At 40.8% G+C, this 17,851-nt stretch overlaps 1 annotated feature.

Moving 5' to 3' along the window:
• Positions 16,493-17,651: an enhancer, noted in NCBI's record as "VISTA enhancer hs463". NCBI's record gives its function as "enhancer in: heart[5/6]" and the evidence as "EXISTENCE:transgenic organism evidence [ECO:0001131][PMID:17130149]".

Below are 17,851 nucleotides of genomic sequence, written 5' to 3'. Positions count from 1 at the left end.
TTTTCAGCTGCTTCTGTGCCAAATGCCTTCCCCAGCAAGGACTGGTCTCACTACTGATGAGGGGCTTGCAGGGGCCATGGGGGAGCTTCACAGTGGAGGGGTAATTCCAGTTCAGGGTCTTGAATGTCTACTCCTTTGGCTCATGAGGCAGAAAAATATTGCCTCAGGAAACTCTAGACCATCACAAATTATGTCTAAAATGCCATAAAGTCCAAGATATCCCCAGACCATTTCCCTGTGGGTTTTTATCATATTCAATAATTGTGATGGGCCCAAATCTCTCTGGTTGCTTCACTCACTGGCCACACACAGGCCCTCCAGAAACACTCAAAGTCTCATGTAGTTTGTTCTTGGAGTCTCTGGGCAGTGCTCAGTAGATGATCAAGCATGTTCTTAGGGCAACCAATGGTTGCAGAGAAAGAATTTGGTATTGTAATAAAAGCATTTGATAGGTCATCTATGGGAAATGAACTTTGTTGGACTTACTGATTTGTTTGAATTGTTCAGTATTGCTTTTAGCTTGATTTACACAAGAGATCCGCCTCGTCTCACCTCGTCCTTGCCTAAAGGGCTGGTATCCATGGAGCTCAGATGCAGGTCTGTGTGTCCTCACTCTCGCCCCTTCCAGGCCTTTCTATGGGAAGCTGCCCCACCTCCACCTGGGCCTCCCCCACCCTCATGAATTCATGTCAGGGGAGACCATTATTTGGCCTGCAGCCTCATAGCTGGGAACTTAACCATTCTCGCGGTGGGACCTCTGATTCCCCATGCTCCTGACTGTGGCATGGGAAACAAGTGTTGTGCATTCTGGGAGTAACTCCCCAGGGCCCAGCCTCCAGCCCACTCCTCCACATGCTTTCGTGAGTGTGTAATTCCCTGTCTTCAATCCCTTTCTGGCTAGTGTGGTTTCTGCTTCCTGCTCTGAACCCTGACAGATAGGACATGCCTGTTCCGTTTCATTCCTACAATACCTTTGAGGTAGGCATTTATGTCCTGCTTCCAGAGGAGGAATCTGAGCCTCAAATAACATACAGACACAGGCCATCTGTGACAGAATTCAGTTTCCAAAGGGTCAGCTTGTAACTGCCCAATTGCTCTGCTTCACCTGAACAGAAAGAATGAGGGAGGCAAAAAACATCAGGACAGAAGGAGAAAGAAGCTCTGCAATGCTAGGTAGTCCCTTTATCAAGCAGAGGGGAAAGAAACTCTGCAATATCTAGTTAGTCCCTTCGTTCTCCCCACAACACCGGGCTTTCTTCTCCCTAAACTCCAGCATGACCAGACTGCCTGAAAGCACGCGCACACCCCAGCTGTCAAATTCATTCCCTGCTCTAGGAATACAAGAGGGCAAACAGGGACCCTAACATCCCAGAGAGTTCTAGAAAATTGCTTGTGGAACTTCTACATCAACTCTTATGGCTTTATTCATGTGTGTCCTTCACTTACTCACCAGGCTCAGATAATTTCTCTTATCCTCTGAAATCTGATAGTTGTCTAGATAGTTCACCTGTGGTTTCATTACATTTTCCTTATGGTGTGGTTACTTGCATATGGATCATACCTCTTCTAACAAACTGGAACTACATCTTACCCTTGTGTTTCCTATTCATTTATTAGTGCACATTTAATGAGTATCCACCATGTGCCAGGCACTGTGCTCGGCACTGAGAATTCAGAGATGAGCAAGACATGGTCCTCAGAGTCAAGGAGCTCCTGGTCCGGTGGGGACAGGTAGATGCTGTATAATACAACATAAGCGTAGAAATAGAAAGATGCTGAAGGGGCTGGGGCAGGGGCTGGTGATTGCAAGGTGAGGTTTTGAAGTGTGGGTGGGAGTTTTTCAGACAAGGTAGGGGAGGGCATTGCAGGCACAAGGAAAAGCATGTGCTTGGAGGAATTTGGGATGGCCTGAGCTCAGGTTGGGTAGGAGAAGCATGGAGAGAGGAGGCAAAGGGAAGGTCACAAAGGAGGGAGCCAGAAAGGGCTCAGAAGGCGTTTGGCATAGGTAGGTGCTGGTGATTGCTTTTTGCATGATAAAATGAATTATTTTATTATTATTAATGTGTTACTGCTCCTCTTTTGCAAGGCAAAGAAGCTTTAGCTCTGTGAATTGCCTGAGCTCTGTTGAGGGCAGAGCCTGTGTGAGCCATCCATCATGGTGAGAGCATGTCCATGAATGCTGGGGGAGGGAAGGGGTGAATGAATAGAGTCTAGAGAGGGAGAGGGAAGGAAGACTGCCACCCACGAAGCCTCCAGCAGACAGCCAAGCTGCTCTTTAATTGGGGCTCCATTTATCACGCTTTCTATGTATTCAATTTGTGGGTCTTGATTTGGCTCTTACGGAGCTTGCCTCATTCCTAACTTCAAAGCCTGTGTTTTTATTAAAGCCTCTGAAATTTTTTTGGCCCTGCAATTTTGGTTTCTTCCCATTGTCCTTTATCATCCTGGCAAAGAGGCTGAGCTGTGTGTCCTACTTTGGGCTCCGAAATGTGAACCACATGCTGCCCCTTACAGCTTCCCAGGCAGGCAGCAGGGCTCCGTGGCCTTGGTGCAAGCCACTGAGATACTGTCTTTCTACTTTATTTTTTATTTTATTTTATTTTATTTTGAGACCAAGTCTTACTCTGTCATCCAGGCTGGAGGGCAGTGGCATGATCATAGTCACTACAGCCTCAAACTCCAGGGCTCAAGTAATCTTCCTGCCTCTGCCTCCTGATTAGCTAGGACCACAGGTACATGCTACCATACTCGGCTAATTAAAAAAATAATTTATAAGGATGGGGTCTTGCTATGTTGTCCAGGCTGGTCTCAAACTCCTGGCCTCAAGCAATCCTCCTGCCTCGGCTTCCCAAAGCACAGGACTTACAGGGTGTGAGCCACCATGCCCGACCTTCTACTTTTTGAGATAGGCGTGTATTGCTACAAACTTCCCTGTTAGTATTACTTTTGCTTTGTCTCATAGATTTTGATATGTTTTATTTCTATTTTTATTTGTTTGAAGACTTAAAAAAAGTCCTTCTTAATTTCTTCATTGACCTATTGGTCATTCAGGACCATGCTGTTTAATTTCAATGTGTTTGTGTAGTTTCTGAGGTTCCTCTTGTTGCTGATGTCTGTTTTATTATATTGTAATCAGAAAAGATGCTTGATATGATTCCTACTTTTTTGAATATTTTCATCAGAATTTTGTGGCCTAAGATATGATCTATTCTGGAGAATGTTCCATATGCTGATGAAAGGAATGTGTATTCTGTAGCAGGTGGGTGAATTTTCTGTAAATGTCAGTTAGGCCCATTAGGTCTAGTGTGTAGTTTACCTCTGCTGTTTCTTTGTTGATTTTCTCTGTGGATGATCTGTCCATTACTGAGAGTGGAGTGTTAAAGTTCCCAACTATTATTGTGATGTAGTCTATCTCTCCCTTTAGATCTATTAATGTTTGCTTTATATAGTGGAGCTCTGGTGTTGGGTGCATAGATATTTATAATTCTTACATCCTCTTGCTGAATCGACCCCTTGATCGTTATATAGTGACCTTCTTTGTCTCTTACACACAGTCTTTCATTTGTAGTCTATTTTATCCGATACAAGTATAGCCACTCCTGCTCATTTTGGTTTCCAGTTGCATGGAATATGTTTTTTCACTCCTTCACTCTCAGGCAGTGTGTTTCTTGTAGGTGAAGTGGGTTTCTTGCAGGTAGAAGATAGTTAGTCTTGCTTCTTTTTCCATTCAGCCACCTTATGGCTTTTAATTGGAGAATTGAGTTCATTTATATACAGTTTTATTATTGTCATTTTGTTGCTTGTTTTCTGGTTGTTTTGCAACTCATCTCATCCTTTCTTTATTTCTTCCTGTCTTTGTGGTTAAATGATTTTCCCTGGTAGTATGTTTTGATTCATGCTTCTCATTTTTAGTGAATCTATTATAGGTTTTTTGCACTGTGGTTACCATGATGCTTACATAAAACATCTTGTAGGTATAACGAGTTATTTTAAAGCAATGAAAACTTATCTTATATCACAAAGAAAAGAATAGAAACAAAGAAAAAACCAAAACCAAAAAAATGCACTTTAACTCCATCCCTCTCTTGCATTTTGACTTTTAATTGTCTCAACTTACATATTTTTATATTACCTGTCTCTTACCAGGTTGCTGTAGCTGTTATTGTTTTTTCTATATTTGTCTTTTGGGCTTTATACTAGAATTATGAATGAATTGTGCACTGCATTTATAGTGTTATAATATTCTGGGCTTGCATGTATACTTAACTTTACCAGTGGGTTTTATACTTTCAAATGTCTTCTTTTTGCACATTAGTGTTTTTTTCTTCCAAACTGAAGAATTCTCTTTAGCATTTCTTATAAGATGGGCCTGGTGGTAGTGAATTCTCTCAGCTTTTGTTTATCTGGGAAAGGCTTTGTATCTCCTTCATATTCGAAGGAAAGCTTTGCTGCAATCAGCATTCTTAGATGACAGTTGTGTGTTTTGTTTTGTTTTGTTTTCCAGCAGTTTGAAAATGTCCTTTACTCCTTCCTGGCCTATATGATTTCCATTAATAAATTTGTTGCCAAATGAATTGGAGCTCCCTTATATGTTATTTGCTTTTTCTTTTTTTGCTGCTTTTGGATCTTCTCTTTGTCCTTGACCTTTGAGAATTTGACTATTATATGCCTTGGAGTAGTCTTGTTTGGGTCAAATCTATTTGGTATTCTCTGACTTTCCTAGACTTGGATATTTATACCTTCCTGAAGTTTAGGAAGGTTTCCTGTGATTATTTTTTTAAATAAATTTTCTACCCCTTGCTCTTGCTTAACTCTCTCTTGAACACTAATAGTTCTTAGATCTGGTCTTTTGAGGTAATTTTCTATATCTTGTAAGTGGTCTTTATTTTTTTCATCATGTTTTCTCCTGTGATTGTGTATTTTCTAATAGCCTGTCTTCAAGCTCACTGATTCTTTCCTTTGCTTGATCCATTCTGCTGTTGAGAGCCTCTAATGAATTTTTCAGTTCAACAAATATATTTATCAGTTCCAAGATTTTTGTTTGATTTTAAAAATTATTTCAATCCCCTTGTCAAATTTCTCTGATAAATTTCTGAATTGCTTTTCTGTGTCATCTTGGAGATCACTGTTTCCTTAAAACTGCTACTTTGATTTCTTTGTCAAAGAGCTCTCGTTATCACTCTCTCATTAGGGTCAGTCACTGGTTCCTTGCTTTGTTCATTTGGGGAGGTCATAGGTCCCTGTTTGCTGTTGCTTCTTTGTATGTCTTTGTCTTTGCATTGAAGGATTATTTATTTATTCCAGGCTTCTCTCTCTGGCTTGTTTCGGTTTTTATTAGATATATTTTCTTAGAGATTCTTTACCACTAGGTCACTGGCGTCTTTTGGCTCTAGGTGGCACCTTAATCCCAGCTTCGTCTCGGCTTTAGTGAACTACGAGAGTGCTACCCAACCCAAAAGGGGGAGATCTGAAATGGAATAACATAACGCAGCAGTGTGGGAAGGCTGGGTTCATGCCCCTGGGGCTTTGTTGTTGTTGAATAGCTACTCTGTTTTGGCATCTCCTTTGGCCAAGTTATAGAGCAGAGTTGTCAGAGCTGAGGTTGGTAGTTCCACCTCCCCGCTTTATCTCTGCCTGTCTTCAGGGATATTTCTCTCCTCTGGCACTTACAATGCTTCCTCTGGTACTTGTGATGGGTTAAGGAGGGACTTATGCTGCCTTGACTCATTTTGCTCCTCTGGCACTTGCGATGGGTTAAGGCAGGGACAGTTGCCTTGCTGGGAAACCTAAGATGTTGGGAAAAATTGGTTGTCCATCTTGATCTCACTTTTCCCAGTATAGAAACCATGAGTTGGGGGGAAATTTTTCTTGTGCTTGGTTCCACAGAATGGGGGAAGGGTTGTCACAGATGCAGAAGTATGATTCTCTTACTATTTACTTGGAGTATTTTCACTTCCCTGTGGTCTTGGAGAATGTGTCTCATTCTCATATATTAGTTTTGTGTTATTGCTGGTGATAATCTCAGGATTGTATATTTGTTTTTTGTTTTCTGGGTGGCAGACAGAGGGGAGTAAAGCCAACTTGATTTTATGCTATCATTTTGAGACCAGGAGTCACTATTTTCTCTATTTTATTTATTGCTACCTTAATCTTTATTATTTTTTCTTTTTGCCATCTTTTGGGTTAGCTTCTTTCTTGTTTTCTAGGGCTTTTTCTTTTTGGTCTTTTTTTCTCTAGTTCCTTACATTGTAATGTTAGGCTGTTGATTTGAGATCTTTCTTCTTTTTCAGCATAAGTGTTTGTAGATATAAATTTCCCTACTAGCATTGCTTTTGCTACTGTCTGTAAGTTTTGTGTGTTGCATTTTCATTTTCTTTGGTTTCAAATATTTTCCAATTTCCTTTGTGATTTCTTCTTGGAAATCACAAGGTTTGGATGTCAAAACTTGTGTTTCTAAACTCCACATATTTGTGAATTTTCCAGTTTTCTTTGTGTTTTTGATTTCTAATTTTATTCCATTGTGATCAGAAAAGCAATTCTGTGTAATTGCTTTTTATAATTTCAATCTTTTAAAAAGTATTAAGATGAGTTTTGTGGTCCAACATATGGTCTATCCTGGAGAATGTTTCATGTGCATTTGAGAAAAATGTGTATTCTGCTGCTGTTTAGTGGAGAGTTCTGCATATATGTCTGTTAGGTCCAATTGCTCTATAGTGTCATTCAGGTCCTCTGTTTCCTTATAATCTTCTGTCTCATTGTTTTATCCATTACTGAAAGTGGAGTATTGAAACTTGCAACTACTAATGTTGAGCTCTCTATTTCTCCTTTCAGTGCTGTCATTGGTTGCTCCATATATTTTGGAGCTCTAAAGTTTGGTGTATATATTTTTATAACTGTTATGTCTTCTTGGTGAATTGACTCTGGTAGCAGTTTTCAGCTTAAAATATATCTGATATTAATTTAGCCACCCTAAGTGTATCACGGGATCTAAAGTTAGTCTCTTGTAAGCAGCATTCATTTGGATTTTTTTTTTCTATTCTGCCAATCTATGCAATTTTGATTGGGAACTTGAATCCATTTGCATTTAAAATAATTACTGTTGGGGAAGGACTTGTATTTGTCATTTTGCTATTTGTATTCTGTATATTTTATAGCTTTTTTGTTCCTTATTTTATCCCTTACTATCTTCCTCTATGTTTAGTTGTTTTTTTTTTTAAAGTGACACATTTTGATAGCCTTCTCATTTTTTGTATGTATATTCTACAGATATTTTCTTCATTGTTATCATGGATATTACATAAAATATCCTAAAGTTATAACAACCTATTTTGATTTTATACTTACTTAACTTAAATTGCATACAAAAATCTCTATTCCTATACAGTTGTGTCCCCTGTCTGCAGTTTATGTTACAAATTACATCTTCATGCATTGTGTACTTGTTAACATAGAATTATAATAACTTTTGTGCTTTTGATTTTTTTAAACCTATAAGAACAAAAAGTAGAGTTACAAACCAAAATTATAATAATACTATTACATTCGCTGATATATTTACCTTTACTGGATATCTTTATATCTTTATATGGAGACGAGTTACTAACATCCTTTTGTTTCAACCTGAAAGGCTCCCTTTAGCATTTATTATAGGACAGACCTAGTAGTAATAAACTCCATCTACTTCTGTTTATTTGAATATGTCTTAATTTATCCCTCCTTTTTGGACAGTTTTTCCAGATACAGAGCCGGGCGCGGTGGCTCACGCCTGTAATCCCAGCACTTTGGGAGGCCGAGGTGGGCGGATCATGAGGTCAGGAGATCGAGACCATCCTGGCTAACACGGTGAAACCCCGTCTCTACTAAAAATACAAAAAATTAGCCGGGCAAGGTGGAGGGTGCCTGTAGTCCCAGCTACGCGGGAGGCTGAGGCAGGAGAATGGTGTGAACCCGGGAGGCGGAGCTTGCAGTGAGCTGAGATGGTGCCACTGCACTCCAGCCCGGGCAACAGCGAGACTCCGTCTCAAAAAAAAAAACAAAAAACAAAACAAACAAACAAAAAAAAGAATTATCTATATCATCCCACTGCCTTCAGGCCTCCAAGGTTTCTGCTGAGAAATTGGCTAATAATCTTATTGATGATTCTTTATGTGTGACATGTCACTTTTCTCTTGCTGCTTTCAAGATTCTCATTCTCTGTCTTTGGCTTTCAAGAGTTTCATTATGTGTCTCTGTGTATCTTTGGGTTTATGATACTTGGTGTTTATTGGGCTTCTTGGATTTGTAAATTGATGTCTTTCCTCAAATTTGGGTAGTTTTCAGCCATTATTGCTTCAGATAATTTTTGCCTTTTTCTATCTTCTTCTTTTTTTTGGAATCCCAGAATGTAAATGTTGGCCCATTAATGGTGTCCTCTTAGGCTTTGATCACTTGTCATCTTTTTAATGCTTTTAACTGCTTACACTTGATAATTTCAAATGTCCTATTTTCAAGTTTGCTGATTTTTATTTTTTATTGCCATCTCAAATTTGCTGTTGAATTACTCTAGTGACTTCTTTAATTCAGTTATTATATATTTTAGATGCAGGATTTCTTTTTGGTTCTTTTTATAATTTCTATCTCTTTGTTAAAATTCTTATTTTGTTCATGTATTATTTTTCTGATTTCTTTTAGTTCCTTGTGTTTTCCTTGAGCTCTTTGAACATATTTATGAACAAATTTTTTAAGCCTTTGTCTAGAAAGTCTGATGTCTGTGTTTCCTCAGGGATGGCTCCTAGAAGTATATTTTGTTCCTTTGAATGGGTCATATTTTTCTATTTCCTTGTATACTTTGTGATTTTTTTGTTGTTGTTGTTGTTGTTGTTGAAAATTGGGCAGTTGAAAAACAGCCACCTTTAACAGTCTTTGCAGATTGGCTCTGTGCCAGGGCATTCCTCTACTCATTACCTGGGCATGATTTGACCCTTGGAATCAGCCCAAGGTGAAGGCTTAGGTCCTCTCAGGTTTTTTCTGAGCATAATGTGTGGCTTTTTCAGTCTCCCTGTGTATATGTGTATTAGTCCATTTTCATGCTGCTGATAATGACATACTCGAGACTGGGTAATTTATAAAGAAAAAGAGGTTTAATGGACTCACAGTTCCACATGGTTGGGAAGGCCTCACAATCATGGCAGAAGGTGAAAGGCATGTCTTACATGGCAGCAGACAAGAGACAGAAGTGAGAACCAAGTGAAACGTGTTTCCCCTTATAAAACCATCAGATCTTGTGACACTTATTTGCTACCATGAGAACGGTATGGAGGAACCGCCCCCATGATTCAATTATCTCCCACTGGATCCCTCCCACAACACGTGGGAATTATGGGAGCTACAATTCAAGATGAGATTTGGGTGGAGACACAGCCAAACCATATCAACATAGTTGATTTTCACTGTCTTAATTTTCCAAAGAGTATCACCTAATTTCTCTTAGAGGCCTTATGTGATGTATTGTATGCCTCCATTTGTACTTTCTTGCCCCAGGTACCTGCAAGTCTGTAGTCCCCCTGCAGGTTTTATGAGCTATGCCTGCTACTCTTGGCCACTTTTCCTAGCCTCGGATCCAAGCTATGCCACTTTTCCACCTGAGCTCCAAGTTAGGCAACACAGGGTGCAGCCCTGCTGGCAGCAGCCCCCAGACAGGTTAAAACATTCAAGTAACTTCTGCTCTGTACTCCCTGGTTCCAGAGAGGGAATTGTGAACTGGGTTGCTATCTTCTCCAGACCAAGACTGCACCAATGCTGGGGAGAGGAGGGAACTAGGGTGAGTAAAAACATCACACAATTTCCAACTGTTTTTAATGTGTTTTTTTTTCTTGATCAGGCATTTGTTTAGTCGCCATTGACTTTTGGCTATTTTCCAAAGCTCTCACAAAATTTTAGTTGGGTGCTTTTTGTTTTTTAAATGTTTCTGTGGGGAAATGATACCTGAAGCTTCTTAGTCTTGTCATTTTTTTAAACTAATGCTTTTAATTTGTCTTCTTGTTGATATCTGTATTTATAATTTTATATAAAGAACAGCAATTTCTCTTATAATGAGAAAAGGTAAAAATTGCTGAGAAAGAGACTATTATGAGAAGGGATCTCACTTAGAATAGCAACCAAAGAAATATAAACTGCATGGGAATAGACCTTACAACAGATGCTTATGAACCCAAATAAAACTATATGTTACATAGGAGTTAAATCACAAACTGAGCTCTCACCTGAAATCTTGTACAGTCAACATAAACACAATATCACATCAAGCACCCTGAGATGCCTACACCATGAGAGATGCTGAGAATAATCTCTCATTTCACTCCAGGATGTGCTCCGTAAGTGGACCATGGGCAGAGTCCCCCACACTGCTTAAATTCTCTGTCCTTTAAATACATGTAGTTAATTTACATCATTATTTAAATGTATATTTGTTTAGTCTTCAGTCTATATAAATAAGATTACAAAAGGTTATAAACAGATATAAAAGATGACTTGAATAAATGGCAAGACATACCATATTTTTAAATAAAAGATAATGTATCATGAATAGTTTATCCTTTCCCATTCATAGATTGGCAAGATGCAGTTCCAATAAAACATATACAGGATGTTTTGCAGGCAACATGACAAAACAATTCGAAATCTTACATGACAAAAGAGCTAAATCAGGAAAATGAAAGATGACTCTGAAAAAGGAGAGTATGGAGCAAGGGGCAATACCTTCCTGGTATTAAGTCACACTGGTAAAGTTACAATAATTTAAAATTGTGGCACTGATTCAATGATAGCAATGTCAATAGAATGGAATAGATTGTATAGAAATAAGCTTTTATATTTAAATTGAGTAGTTCATAAAATAGACATTATAATTTAGAAAAAGAACCAAAATTACCTATCAATGTGTTAAATAACAGATTAACGTTTTGTAATAAAGTGCTACTTAGACCATTATTTTTATTATAAACCAAAATAAATTCAAATCAAATATTAGGAAAGATTGGAAATTTGAATTAAATATTTATCAGAGCTTTTGTGGAGGAAGAATTTATAAATTTAAAAGTAATGAAAGAAGTTCACAGGTCAAAATTGCAATTGATTTTATGCAAACAATCTCAACTGCCATTAAAATGATATGCAAAATAAAGACAAAAAACACTGGAAAAGATTGTCAGTAAATTTTATTGAGAAAAGTTTAGTATCTTTATTATATAAAGTGTTCATCTAATGATGGAAAACATCAAAAACTCCATCAATTACCAAATAATAATTTATAATTTATAAAGTAGGAATTGCAACTAATTAATAAACATAAAAAATATTTAACCTTGCAAATGATCTCAGAAATGAAAGATTAAATAAAACTTAGGAACACTACTTCATCCCTTAAATAAGCTAAAATAAATAGTTTTGTTCATTTTAGGAATAATTAATGTTTTATTTAACCCATGTTAAAAATATCCTCCATCATACTATGCAGCCATAAAAAGGAATGAGATCATGTCCTTTACAGGGACATGGATGGAGTTGGAAGCCATTATCCTCAGCAAACTAACACAGGAATAGGAAAAAAACCACCACATGTCCTCACTTGTAAGTGGGAGATGAACAATGAGAACATATGGACACAGGGAGCGGAACAATGCACACTGGAGCCTGTCGGGGGGTGGGGTAGGGGGAGGGAGAACATCAGGATAAATAGCTACTGCATGCTGGGCTTAATACCTAGGTAATGGGTTGATAGGTGCAGCAAACTACCATGGCACACGTCTACCTATTTAACAAACCTGCACATCCTGCACTTAAAATAAAATAAAATAAAATTTAAAAAATGTTCCTCCTTCAGAATTTTATAAACAATCCAGAATTAGGTATATAAAAGTAGTCACAATCTTAGAACTCAGTGGATTTTTTTCCTTAAGTCTGAATCCCTTTAAGTTTAATAACAGCACTCCTGATTTTCCTTCTCTGTAAGGGAGAGAATGGGTCTTTGGAGTGTTGGATAATGACATTACACAGTGGTAGAAAAATTATCCTAGCAATATGAATAGCTTTTTCCATAGCTGTATATACCTGTGTATATATGTATGTGTATATATATATATGTGTGTATGTGTGTGTGTGTGTAAATGCATACATTTTGTGTTTTATTTTTTCTTTTTTTAAAAAATAAATGTTTTTAATGGTGGTGCCAAATGCTAAGGTAGAGTGTAAATGATATTTATACTTATTACTGATGGTATTATAAAGCAATATATGTTAATCATGATGAGTTAGGCTATGCCGCTATAACAAGTAACATAAAAATATCAGTGGCATAACAAAGAAGCTTATTTTTCACTCTTGCAAAGCCCATTGGGTGCTTGTTGTAGCTGTCTTCCATCTGGTGAGTCAGGGGTCCATGCTACTATCTTAATGTATGGCTATTAGTTCTGCTTTGCTAGGTAGAAGGGAGGCATGGAAACACCTCTCTTAAGTGTATGTTAGACATGTGTCATTTCCCCTCATAGTCCATTGGCCAGAACTAATCACATGACCCTAAACTAATTACAAGGAGGTTAGAAATGTAAGGGAGTATATTAAGTATTTAGTGAACACTATTTCTGACACAAGGTACAGCCCTTTTGGAAATCAATTTACAGCATAAATCAAATGCACTAGTAATTTTACTTCTAAATATGTATCCTTGGGAAATAAAAAAAATGGTAAAATCTACATATATAAAAATGGTCATCACTCCACAACTTCATTATTACCATCTACAAAATGGTAATCCATTGCCCTATTAGGGCAATAAATTTGACCCAGGCTGCAAGGTGACTAGAAAGGTACACTTGGAACACACCTTCATGCCAAGATAGGATCTACCAGAAATAAGTTGCTCTTCACTAAATCTCCTCTCACAACCCCATCACCTATTATGTCATGTGCATTTTACATTCTGAACTTGGCTCCCGACCCTGGAGTTCTTTCCAGTGGGTGCAGGGCATCTTCCACTGTGATTTTCGACAATGACCCTGGCTTTGACCTTGACATCACCCTTGCTTCATGTCCTGGATTTGGTGTTTGATTGAGACACTGGCAGCCTGAGAGTCACCAATGGCCTTTGTGCTTTGTTTGACCTACACGGTGTTTTGAAAATGTTTGAAATCATAGCCAACACTTAAACCTGGGAAATTTCGCATATATATCCAGATTTTATGCTTTTTTTCAGAAAAAAGGGAAAGCCTGATAACCTGTACCGTGCAGTGTTTAGGCTGCACAGCTTGTCACGGTGGAGCCCTCTCTATCTTAATCCTTTTCTGCTCTGCTCACTCAGCCGTGGGCCCTGGAGATTGCTACTCCTTGCTCAGGACAGTTACTCCACTTGTCCACCACCACATTGGGTAGATTTACTTTCCTGCCATTTCTGTGACTTCTCATTGCCCTCAAGAGCACCTTTATTATGATTAACAATGGCCCAAATGATATGCCAGCTTCTTCAGGCTACCCTGCAAAGGCCCCTGGGGACCAGACCTTTGCATCTTTAAGGAAGTCCAAGTCCACAATTTCTTCCTTGGTCCTCTGCAACCTGCACCCAATCTTCTATCTCTGGGGTCACCTCTTCTGTTGGAGCCCCAGCAAATGGCAGCTGATTGGCCTTCTCCTGGCAGGCACAAGTGGGTGCTAATGAATGGAAGAATGTGCTGTCCTTACACCTGATAATGAGGTAATTGAACCCCCACCTCTTCTCTCTGCACCCTCAGTGTTTCTTTTTATGTTTCTTTTTCTTACACTTGACTGAGAGCTCACAAAAGGCTTAGATGTTATTCCAAGGTGCAAAGTTCCCACACTGGTGTCATGACCGAAAACATATATTTAAATAACACACTGAGGCATGTGATGCTGGTACTGCCTGACCACAATAAAACAAAGGGCTGAGATGTCCTTCTGTCTGTCCACCTGCCCTTCCATCCATCCATCCTTCCAGGCAGCATTTATTTGATGCCTTTCTCTGCCAGACCCTTTTATGTACTGTTATCCTCACAATGCCAGAAGGATAGCCCCATTTCATTGATGAGAAAACTGAGGCTTGGGGAATTCAAAAAAATGTGCCCAAGGTCTTGTAACTTAGAGATGAAAATTTAAACTCTAAAGCCTAAGACCATTACAATGAATATTCTGCCCTGAAGAAGTTCATGATCTGATAGAGACATATTTTAGGTGCGATGACTATTAATTCATTCTAAATTTCATGTTATAAATTCTTACTGTCACTTCAGTTATTTGAAAGCTTTTGCCAAAAGCCCTTGAGGGATGACATTGTCCAGATAATGACTTGACAGCCTCAGAATGTGGACTATCCTAGTAGTAATAACATCAAAGCCTTGAAAGTGTGCCTGGCAGTGTGCTTCATGGACATATTCATTTGTGAAGCTCTCCCTGGGCTTGCCCTCTCGCACATTCCAAACGAGTCCTTAGGCTCTTGTATTTCCTTGCCTTGGGGAATTTTTGCACGCAGCACGTAAACAAAAACTGCTGGAAGTCTATGATTCCTCCTGTGTTCAGTAAATGCTTATGGCAGATTGGGTAGAGGAGGTGGAGAAAAGAGGGATTCTAAGGGTCAAAGAAGGACAAGAGAAAGCTTACCCCCATCCTGGGGAGAGGTCTCTGGTCAGTGAATGGCACAAATAGTGTGGGATCCAGTCCCACCCTATGGCAGCCCCTGGGGAGGTGGCCGGACTGTGAGAACATGGCTCTGTGGGACCCCTGGAGGCTTGTGTCTGTGCAAGACTCAAAAACATACAAGGTCCTGGATGGGAGCTGGGAAGAGGGTCGTCTCAAACATAGCTGTGAACAAATTTCCTGCCAACCCAGGAGAATAGGGCCTTACTATCAGAAGGCAGATGATTACAAAAATTGCACACTTTATTGTGCCAGCGTTTCTCCCTAAAACGCTCAGAATGAAGAATTCTTGCTACTTCTTTTTTGCTTCCTGAATCAAAGCCAAATTTCTCAGAGTGCTTTTCGGGTCCTTTCCCTCTCGCAAACTGATCTTTACTTCTAGTGGAATCCCTGCTGCCATCAGTACTTTGGACTCCATATTCCAGCCACTGGGACTTGTTGGCAGATTTCTCTGTGTTCTCTCCTGCCTCCGTGCCTTTGCACGTCCGGTTCCCTCTGCCCACTGAGCTCTTCTGTTTTCAGAAGTCTCATCTTTCAAGGCCTTGGAGGAGCCTTCCCAGACCTCCCTTCCCAGCACACCCACATGCACACACGTATGCCAATAGCAGAATTAATCATTCCCACCTTTATGCCTGGTGGCATTTTATTGTTTGATCAAAGCTAGGAATTTAGGGCTCATTTCCCCAAGTGGCTGTGAGCACCTTGAAGTCTGGTGCTGTGTCTGAGTGATCCATGGTTCCCCAGGACCTAGCACAGGGCAAGGCACACAGAAGGTGATTCAGCAAATATTTACAGGATGACTATGTTGGAGCATGAGCGAAAGGACTGGGGGCTGTGGAGTGGGTGCTCCACACTCAATGCTTGCCATGGATAGTCAGTTCTGAGCAGGGCTCTCCTCTGACCAGGACAGAGGGATGCTGTATCAAATAGCACTACTTGGCTGCGGTCCCACTGGCAGGAAAGTATTTTAATGTCTTGGTTTGATGATGATTCTGGTGTTCATTGCATTCTTTTGTTTTATACCTTTTACTGATCTTTTTTTTTTGTTTCCCCTAAACTTGAGACTTTCATAAACAAAGAAATGGGTATTAATTAGGTGCCTGGTTCGGGTTATATCACAATGCTATGATTCAGTATCATCCATCCCCATCTTAGGGATGAGTCAAGCCATGCTCAGAGAGGTTAAGTAACTTTCTCACATCCTTACTGTGAATAGGGGCCAGGTGCAAACTCAGACTTGCCTTATCCATCAGGTACCAGTGTTGATGTCTCAGTGGAAAGAAGTACCCTCAATCAGGATAATTTGAGAGGTGTTTATGCACAAAGGCACTAAATACATGCCATGGGTGGGTAGGGGGAAGCAGAGGGGGTACTGCAAGGACCTGGGGCTAGCAGCAGCAAAGGACCTAAAAAGAGAGACTTCGGGGAAGCGCACGAGCGTCCCTGCCCCAGTTCCAGCCAGCCTCCAGCAGCCTCTTGCTGTTTCTCCCTCCTATCTACTGGGATCCCCACCAGCCGGACTTGGAGGGCAGGAGCCCATGGATGAGGCCCTCAGAGGTCTGCCTCTATGGCAGAAAAAAGGTGGAGCAGGAGGAAAAATGAATCTAGAAGGACCAGCAGAAGACAGCTGCACACCAGCCCCATCTCACACAGCTAGGCAGAGCAACGTGACATGTTGGGGTCCGGACACCAAACCAGGCCCTCTGGCTACCAGGGTATGTTCTTACAGAATTCTAATGACTGTGGGCCTTTAACAGCAGGTCACGTTCCCACCCAGCATAGTTGCCACTCTGCTTGGGAGGCCTCAGTGGCTCCTGATGGTCCAAGACTGAGTGATGGAGACCAGGAGAGGGGCTGCTGCCTCCTGTTTAAAAGAGACAGGCACCATAGGAGAAGATCCAGTGGCCCTTTTGGGTCCCATGTCTTCCGAGCATGATTTTCCTTTGAGCGAGAAGAGTGGCAGGCAGCAGTCCTCAATTTTTTTTTCTCTCTCCCCACCCCCAGCTCCTCACATCCATCCCATTTGAGAAGAGAAGGGCAGCAGCGTTGTCTTTCCATCAATTTCTCTGGTACTTGATTCCCTCACCTTTTCTCCTTCTTAATCTTCCTGTGGCTCCTAAAAGGATTAATTAGAAAGATGTGAGCAGGGGTTGGAACGTCAGAAAACAATCGTCACTTTCCTATCTGACCTCTCTCACCAGCTGCAGAATTAACAAATTGAATGTTCTCAGCAGACAGGGGTGGCACATGATGCCGAGTTCATGGCGGGCCTGGCCGGGGCCTGTGCGGAGCCCCATTTAAACAACTCTTGCTGATTAAATTCCTCCCGGGCACTCCCGCCAGATGCTGTTAGAAAATACTCACATCCAAGAGGTTTTTAATTTTTTTTAAGCATGTGCCAATTATTTGCCTGCTATCTGCAGGTGCTGGCAAGCGTCACAGGCCGGCCTCGCTGTCTACACTCTTATCCACTCGGCGCCTGCCTGGGGGGCTCACGTCGTCGGGAATGGGATGCTGGGCTCTGCTAGGGGCTGTCAAAAGCTCTCCAGCCACCCTGCGTGGCTGCCTTCCCTGCCCCCAGCCCAGCCCCCAGAGCCTCACCTTCTGAAGCTCACAGCTCTCTAGAATGTTTCAAGGTGACAACACAGACCGGGTGACCTGCTGGAAGTGGGGCCCACAGGGGCAGGCATGCAATCGTGCCTGGGCCCGTGCCAGCTGCCTCTCAGCCAGGCTGTGCTTCAGACCTGAGCCAAACAGGGACATAAAATCGCCACCTCCATGAGCAGGGGGAGGGTGCTTGGCCCTTGCTCACAGGCCCCTTTAAAATATGTCCCAAAAAGCAGCCCCACTCCTGCTCCCACTTCAGCCATCTTGATTACTTTGTTTATGTCTTGCTTGATGCTTAATGAAAACCAAAGTGTTCTTAGCAGTTTTAACAAATGCCAATTAATGTCTAAAAGCAAGGGTGCAAAATATAAGCTACAGAATTTTTATCCATGCTCATATATTTTAATGAGGGTAATAGAAACATTTGACCAACAATAAACTTTGTACTGTGTTCTACGGTAACCACTGCCTCCCTTGCCCCTTCAGACCTAGGGGTGGTATCCTATTAGTACCAGCCCCCAGGACAGCACCTTCCCTTGGGGTTTCCTTTGACCCTGGCCACACC

Source organism: Homo sapiens, chromosome 7, assembly GCF_000001405.40.
Source record: "Homo sapiens chromosome 7, GRCh38.p14 Primary Assembly".
In the NCBI taxonomy this organism is placed as follows: Eukaryota; Metazoa; Chordata; class Mammalia; order Primates; family Hominidae; genus Homo; species Homo sapiens.
Note: the sequence above shows the minus strand (reverse complement) of the source record. Positions and strands in the feature narration are given on the sequence as shown.